Source organism: Homo sapiens, chromosome 16 (assembly GCF_000001405.40).
Source record: "Homo sapiens chromosome 16, GRCh38.p14 Primary Assembly".
Taxonomy (NCBI): domain Eukaryota; kingdom Metazoa; phylum Chordata; class Mammalia; order Primates; family Hominidae; genus Homo; species Homo sapiens.
In genome coordinates this window covers 74,787,138-74,796,369 of record NC_000016.10, presented here as the reverse complement: position 1 = coordinate 74,796,369, position 9,232 = coordinate 74,787,138, and positions in this window count along the sequence as shown.

Genomic DNA, 9,232 nt, shown 5'->3' with positions numbered 1-9,232 from the left:
TTCAGTTGGTTTTTACTGATTCTCAGTAGTTTCTTCACCCACATGTGTTCATCAATATCAGCTAAATACTTGAGGGAAACACTCTGTAGATCTCTGGAGTTCTCTGTGCATCTCTCTCCACTCTGGTATTTTCCCCTGAGAACTCCAGCCACCTGAGTGTCCCCCAACTCCCAGCTCCATCTCTTCAACTGAGGATGACCACTGAACTCTGCCTATATTCCCCATCCCAAACCTCACTTCCCCACCCATGCACTATGACCTGGAAACTCTTTCCAGGCAGTAAACTGGGTCAATCAAGAAGCTCACCTCATTTATTACCCCACTTCTCAGGGATCACTGCCTTTGGTTGCCTGATGTCCAAAGTCTTGAGGCCGTTGTTTCATGCATTTTGCCCAGTATTTTGGCTGTTTCATGCAGAAAGATAAATTTGTTCTCTTCCATCTTGAATGGAAAAGAAAGTCACCATCTCACCTTGCTTAAATTCTCTGGTGACTTTCACTCCCTAAGTTCCTGTTTATTTACTAATTTATTTATCAATTGCCTCACCAAGAATTTAAGCTCCTTAGAAGAGAATTTATCTGTTTTCCTCACCACATCCCCTAGAACATGCCAAATTGCTCCAGAAACATTTATACACCTGGGGTTGAGAGATGAGTCAAACTGATGAGCATGTATGTTAAAAGAAAAGTCCTCTTCGAGTGATTTGATATGTCCCCTTTCCCCTAGAGAAAGTCATTGGTATAGCATCTAAAGTCTGACAGGGAGTACACAGATAAAACAAATATCAATGGGAAAATCAGGGTGGATGTTTGAGCTGGACCCCGAAATATAGACAAAATATCAACCCATGAAAATAGAATATTTGCCATCCCAGAAAGATGGCATTACCACAAATGGGCAAAAGCTCAGAGGCAAGAAAAGGTGGAGTGTATTTAGGGGTAATGAATTGAATCGGTCTGCTCTTCTGATACATGGACAAGAGTTGGAGATATAGTTGAAATATGGATTGTGACAGATGGTAGAGGAAATTGATGCTACAAGGAGGGATGCAGAAAGCTTTAGGAAAATGCTAAAATATGTTTAACTTGGCAACAGTCAGAATGAAGGATGTATTTAAGTAGAAAGAGACTCACAGCAGAAAGGCTTTTAAAAGATTAAAATCTGATTCATAATAAAAGAAGGGCAAATTAAGGCAACACGATTTCTTCCCTATCAGATGGACAAGCATTCTAAAGCTTAACCACATACTCTGTGGACTCTCATATATTACTGGCAGGAATACAAAAGGGTACTACCTCTAAGGAAGGGTATGTGGCCGTGTCTAACAAAACTATACATGCATTTACCCCTTAATCCAGCAATTTCATTTTTAGGAATTTTCCCTGAAGATACTCATCAAAGTCATATGAAAATCATATGCATATGACATTTATTCTGGAATAAGTTACAATTGCAAAATACCAGTACTAATCTAAATGTACATACACAGGGAGGAGATTGGTTTAATAAACTATGTTGTATCCACACAGTGAAATACCATGAAGCTATGAGAGAAAATGAATTAACATGGAGTGACTTACAATCTAACTCATTCGGAGGAAAAAGAAAAGTACAAAAGAATATTTATAGTAGCCACTCTTTTGTGTAAGAAAGGAAGGGAAATAAGAATATGTGTATATATATATATATATATATATATATATATATATATATATATATAAATATGCTTGTTATTAGCATATAATTACATAACAAATACATAACAAGATGAAACACAGGGAATATAAGCCAGAAACTAAGGAATTCAGTTTAACTACAATGGGAAATGGAACAGGGTGGAAGGTATAGGGAAGTGAAGTGAATGGACTTTGCTGAGGGGATTTTTAAGTATAGTCTTGAACCAGATTAATTCTTTACATACTTAAAAATAATATTGCACTTTGGGAGGCCAAGGCGAGCAGATGACTTGAGGTCAGGAGTTCGGGACCAGCCTGGCCAACATGGTGAAATCTTGTCTCCACTGGAAATCTTGTCTCTACTAAAAATACAAAAATTAGTCAGGCGTGATGCTGCACACCTGTAATCCCAGCTACTCAGGAGGCTGAGGCACGAGAATCGCTTAAACCCGGGAGGCAGAGGTTACAGTGAGCTGACATCACGCCATTGCAGTACAGCCTGGGCAACAGAGAGAGACTCTGTCTCAAAAAAAAAAAAAAAAAACCCAATAATAATAATATTGAATTCACAAGCATAGGAGGGAAATCCCTAAAACTGAATACAACAGAAACAATGGAAACTAAGTATAGTCTTGTACTACATATGGAAGTTGACATATTTTGGTCAACCACAGGCTGCATGTATGACAGTGGTCCCATAAGATTTTACCATATTTTTACTGTATCTTTTCTATGTTTAGATACACAAATAATTACCACTGTATTCCAATTGTGTACAGCATTCAGTACAGTAACATGTTGTACAAGTTCACAGCCTCCTACCACATAGCCTAGGTGTGTAATGGGCTACACCACCTAGGTTTGTGTAAGTACATACTGTGATGTTCACACAGTGATGAAATTACCTAACAATGCATTTCTCAGAATGTATTCGGATTGTTAAGCAACACAGGACTGTATGTATACCAAACTGATGACAACCACACTGAAGAAACAGTGAATCAGTATTTGTTTTGAGCACTGTACTTTATCAGGTACTGTCAGTGACATGTAGGACTAACTTCATCAGGCAGGTCCCATGATGCTTTTTTTTTGGTCGGGGAATTGGATGTCTTGCTATGTTGCCCAAGCTGGACTCAAACTCCTGGCCTCAAGAGTTCCTGTCACCTGTGCCTCCCCAGTAGCTGGGACTACAGGCATGCACCACCAAGTCCAATTCAAAACACCTTTTTTTTTTTGAGACAGTGTCTCACTCTGTTGCCCAGGCTGGAGTGCAGTGGCGCAATCTTGGCTCACTGAAAGCTTCACCTCCTGGGTTCCCGCCATTCTCCTGCCTCACCCTCCCGAGTAGCTGGGACTACAGGCGCCCGCCACCACGCCCGGCTAATTTTTTTGTATTTTTTTAGTAGAGACGGGGTTTCACTGTGTTAAACAGGATGGTCTCGATCTCCTGACCTCGTGATCTGCCCGCCTTGGCCTCCCAAAGTGCTGGGATTACAGGCGTGAGCCACTGCACCCGGCCCCAGTTCACAATACTTTTAAGAGCCACGAACAGGTGTTAATTTTACTTTCTTTCCTTCTGTCGTTGTTGTTGTTTTATTTTTTGCGACAGAGTTTCACTCTTGTTGCCCAGGCTGGACTGCAGTGGAGTGATCTCGGCTCTCAGCATCCTCTGCCTCCTGGGTTCGAGTGATTCTCCTGCCTCAGCCTCCCAAGTAGCTGGGATTACAGGCATGCAGCACCATGCCCAGCTAATTTTTGTATTTTTAGTAGAGACAGAGTTTCACCATGTTGGTGAGGCTGGTCTCGAGCTCCTGACCTCAGGTGATCCACCTGCCTTGGCCTCCCAAAGTGCTGGGATTACAGACATGAGCCACCGTGCCCAGCCAATTTTACTTTCTTTAACATCATAAGAGACACTAGGATGGCTATGATTTTTAAAACAGAAATAGCAGTTATTGGTGAAGATGTGCAGAAATTGGAACCCTTGTGCACTGCTGGTGGGAATGTAAAATGGTGCAGCCACTGTAGAAAACAGGCAGTTTCTCAAAAGGTTAAACATAGGACTACTGACCCAGCAATTTCAGTCTTAGACACACATCTAAAAGATTTGAAAGCAAGGACTTCAACAAACTCTTGTACACCAATGATCATAGCAGCATTAGTCACAATAGCCAAAAGGTGGAAACAATGCAAGTGTCCATTAACAGATGAATGGATCAACAAAATGTGGCACAGCCATACATGGAATATTATTCAGCCATGAAAAGGAAAAAAATGTTTGATGTATGTTACAACATGAATGAACCTCGAAATCATTATGCTTAGTGAAATAAGCCAGACACAGAAGGACAAATATTGTATGACTCCACTTATATTATGTACCTAGAATATGCAAATTCATAGAGGCAGAAAGGAGAAGAGGGTTGCAAGAGGCTGGGGAGAGGGAGAAAGGGGAGTTGTTACTTAATGGGTGCAGAGTTTTTGTTGAAAACGAAAAGGTGTTAGGTATAGTGGTTGTATTAGTCAGTTCTCGCATTGCTATAAAGAACTACCTGAGACTGGGTAATTTATAAAGAAAAGAGTTTTAATTGGCTCATGGTTCCACAGGCTGTACAGGAAGCATGGATGGAAAAGCCTCAGGAAACTTACAATCATGGTGGAAGGCAAAAGGAGAAGCAGGCAGTCTTTACATGGCAGGCAAGAGACAGATAGCAAAGGGGGAGGTGCTACACACTTTCAAACAACCAGATCTCATGAGAGCTCACTTGCTACCGCGAGAACAGCAAGGGGGAAATCCACCCCCATGATCCAGTCTCCTCCCAGCAGGCCCCTCCTCCAACACTGGGGATTACAATTCAACATGAGATTTGGGCAAGAACACAACTCCAAGCCATATCAGTGGTGATGGTTACACAACATTGTGAATGTATATAGTGCCACTGAATTGTACACTTATACATGGTTAAAATTATAAATATTATGCTATGTATATTTTGCCACAATAAAAAATACAGGCCAAAATAACAGGCTACATGCATCCAAAAAACTCAGAAGAAAACAAGAAACATGATAATAATTACTATATAATGATGAATCCAGTCTAGATTATATTCTTTACAACAATATAGTCATAAAATATAATATTTAATGTCTCCTTATAGAGAAAGGGCCCCAAAAGTCATTATACAATTCTGGATGGATATATCTGATGACAAGAACTGCCCAAAACTTCTGAAATTGATGTAGTATGTTTGTCGTAGTACTTGTGTAACAACTCTGGACATATCTTGTGTCCATTGCAGGCTTATGCAAATAAGTACGTATGCTGATGTTGGTTGGAAACCATTGTAGAATAAGGTAGATAAAAATATGGAATGGAAGAAGGAGAAGAAGAATCCAGTAGTATTGGATTTGAACCACAGGGATCAGTGTGAACTCATGATCTTTTAAGAAATACATTTTCTTGCTTGGAGCATTGAAAGCTCCAGGAAGCAATGACACTCCACTAGCAATGAGCACACATAATGGTCTGATCTTATTTTTGAAATCCCACTCCCTAGTAAAAGAAACTAAGGTTCTTTGAAGAAGTGGAAGAGTCCAGAGCTGGGACAGAGAAAGTACAAGGAGAGTCTATAATATCTTGTTATGCCAGAAAGTAAGGAAGTGCTTAAAAACTGGTAGAGATGGCCAGGTGCGGTGGCTCATGCCTATAATCCCAGCACTTTGGGAGTCCAAGGTGGGAGGACTGCTTGAGTTCAGGTGCTTGAGACCAGCCTGGGCAACATAGTTAGACCCTAGCTCTAAAAAAAAAAGAAAAGTTAAAAAAAACCAGTAGAGACTTGACAAAAGAATACAGCCAGGTTGACGGGGCTCCCACTGGCCAAATTTGGGTTAACTTGAGTGGCAAAATGAATAATGGCAGAAATGGATTATAACATATTCAAGAGAAAGTTTTAGGGTTTTTTTTTCCAATAAAATAACTTCAGCAAATAAATGCAGAAAACATGATAGAAAATCACCATGTTACAATCAGAAATAACTGATTCAGGCAAGAACATTATTATAGGATATTTACTAAGTCTCCTAGTAAGATAAAAAAAATCTGTGATCTGATAAGTAATATCTTTATGTGAGATGATATTTACTTATCATCTCACATATTTTTTATTAATTACAAAAGAGAAAATATACCTTTACAGTGAGGAAATCTGGTAGACATGATCCTAACCAAATGATTACGGTGAAAAACACCAATAATGGAACAAACTGACCTCATCTGCCTCTTGATATGAGGCACCAGGAAGGACACAACATCTCCTATGTAGTATTCCTGCCAAAAATGTTGTACTTGAATTTAGTAATAAGGAAACTATCAGGCAGATCCAAATTGAGCTACCTCCTACAAAACAACCTTGACTCTTCAGAAATGCCCTGGACTCTTCAGAAATGTCCATGTCACAAGAGACAAAAGAAGGATATGAAAAACTCTTCTAACTTAAATAAAACTAAAGAGAAATGACAACTAAATGCAATGTGGATCTTTTATTATAAGGCCCTGGACTTTAAAGCAAAATCAGCTTTTTTTTTTTTTTTTTTTTTTTTTTTTTTTTGAGACAGAATCTCACTCTATTGCCCAGGCTGGAGTGCTGTGGAGCTATCTCAGCTCACTGCAACCTCTGCCTCCCAGGTTCCAGCGATTCTTCTGCCTCAACCTCCCGAGTAGCTGGGACTACAGGCATGCACCACCACACCTGGCTAATTTTTGTATTTTTTAGTAGAGACAGGTTTTCACCATATTGGCCAGCCTGGTCTTGAACTCCCAACCCCATGATCTGCCTGCCTTGGCCTCCCAAAGTGCTGGGATTACAGGCGTGAGCCACCATGCCTGGCCCAGCTTTTTTTTTTTTAAGGCATTATTTGGATAATGGATGAAATTTCAATATGGATTATATATGAGATGTCACACTAATGTTAAAATTTTTCTGAGAATGACAATTGTATTGTGGTTATGGAAAAAAGCATCCTGGTTCTTAAGAGACACCTGCTAAAGTATTTAGAGGTGAAGTGTACAATGGCTGTAATTTACTCAAAATGGTTCGGAAAAAAAGTATGTACATAGATGTGTGTCTATCTCTGTGTGTGTGTGTGTGTGTGTGTCAGAGAGACAGAGAGAGAGAGGCAAACAGAGAAAAAGGTTAACAATCATGCAAATCCAGGTGCAGAGTTTAAGGGTATTCATTGTGTTATGCTTGTACTTTCCCTTTAAGTTTGAAATTTTTGTAGTTAAAAAATTTGTGTGGGGCTGGGATGGGTGGGCGAGACCAGAAGGAAATATGCTAAACTGTGAGTTGCGGTTGCCTCTTGTCAGAGAAATGGAACTGGGGAGACTGAGCTGGGCAGGGAGGGCTGTGAGAGGACATGCCTCACTCACTCTGTAAACTTCTCTATAGTATAACTCTTTTCTTTTAAGTCAAGTTTATTGAGATATACCTTATGTACTGTAAAATTCACCCCTTGAGGTATATAGTCCTATGACTTTTGACAAATATGTACCATCATGTTATAATCAAAGTCAAGATATAGAATATTTCCATTACCCCAAGAAAGGTCCTTCATGACCCCTTGTGGTCATCCCCTGCCCCTGATCTGCAGATCTTTTATACAGTGACAATATATCTATGTGTTGCTTGTATAAATAAATATATTTAAAAAGGTTATTTTTTTCTCACCCCACTGTCCACACATGCTCTTTATGGGGGAAAAAAGCAGGAAATATAGGTATGGAAAAGGAAGGTGACTTCCAATAACATCTTGGTGCAAATTCTTCCAGCTTTCTCAAATAGATACTCGAAAGAACCAGGCAGCTCTGCCATGTTTCTCTAGTACGTCTGCTTCCTACTTCTCCAACTGAAGACAGGTTAAAAAGGGAGAAGAATGTCCAGGACAACTAGAACATTCTCTGTTCTCAGAGAATAGTGTGGGAAATTTTTGTTGTTGTTGTTGTTTTGAGATGGAGTCTCCCTCTGTCACCCAGACTGGAGTGCAGTGGAGCCATCTTGGCTCACTGCAACCTCCACCTCCTGGCTTCAAGCGATTCTCCAGTCTCAGCCTCCTGAGTAGCTGGGATTACAGGCATGCGCCATCAGGCCTGGCTAAGTTTTGTGTTTTTAGTAGAGATGGGGTTTCACCATGTTGGGCAGGCTGGTCATGAACTCCTGACCTCAAGTGATCCGCTCACCTCACCATCCCAAAGTGCTGGGATTATAGGCGTGAACCACCATGCCCGGCCCAAAAAAAAATTTTTTTTGATACAGGTTCTCACTGTCGCTCAGGCTGGAGTGCAATGGCACAATCACTGCTCACTGTAGCCTCAAGCTCCTGGGCTCAAGCAGTCCTCCCAATATGGGAATTCATGGTGAGTCAGAGCCAGACTGACTGTATTACATACTTTAATTTGTCCTGGTAATCAACTAGTTAACTAAACACTCTTTACTGAATGAAATCACGTGAGGTCTATGGTCCTCACAGGTCTATGGTAACGTTAAGGATCTACATCTGATGGCTGGGGTGAACATGAGCGTCATCTCAGAGGTAGAATTGACACACGTGGGCAGTGGATTGGTTTGGGAAGGGTGGGAGAGGAGAAATAAAAGAGGATTCTGAGGTTCCTTGCTGAGTATCTAAAGTTTTATGATGCAGAAATAGAAAAGCTCATTTTAGGAACAAGATAATGGGTTTGGATGTGCCAGGTTGAGTTTGGGATATGGTTGTCATACGGTGATCAGAAATGCCTTTCTGGAGCTTGAAAGAGGGTCAGAGAGGGAGCTACGGGTGTATAGTTTAACAGCTAGAGATGGTTGTTGAGGTAGAGGAAGTGTACACTGTCACCAAGGGGAAGAGTACAGGCAGAAGAGTGGAGTGTCGCGGGCGACCTTGGGAAATATCTCCTCTTTAGAGGCAGGAAAAAGAAAATATGCTAGTGATGGAAGAAGGTGCCATCAAAGGCTGGCAAAGATTTAGGGGAGTGAGAGTCAGGATCCACAAGGAAGTTGTATGTTATGTTCAACAACCTAAGAGCAATGACAGAATGACAGCCCGGATAATTAAGATGCCGTTGAATATACTCCCATTAACACATTGGGGCCAGAGCTGGTCAAAGCAGGAAGTGAAAATACAGCAGCCCCCAACTCTCTGCAAGGACCTGAGTCTCTGTAGCTCTGGCCTCGATTGCTCTCTTCCATGTGATCTGGGGGTGGGAGTGGGAACAGGGGGAAGAAGGCTCTAGGGTTGTATAGCAGTGTTTGGCTGTGCAGATGGGACTGCCACTTGGCAGACAGGGAGCAACACTCCAACCCCACACACCATAGTATGTCCCAGCAAGTGGGTAGATGTCACAAAAGATGGGATGTGGGCCCTGATCCCCCAAGCAGAGACTCTGGGATTGCTGGAGTAGTATATACCCATCTGTAGTCCTCCCTTTTCTTTTTCTTTTTTTTTTCTTTCTTTTTTTATTTTTTTAGATGGAGTCTCACTTTGTTGTGCAGTCTGGAGTG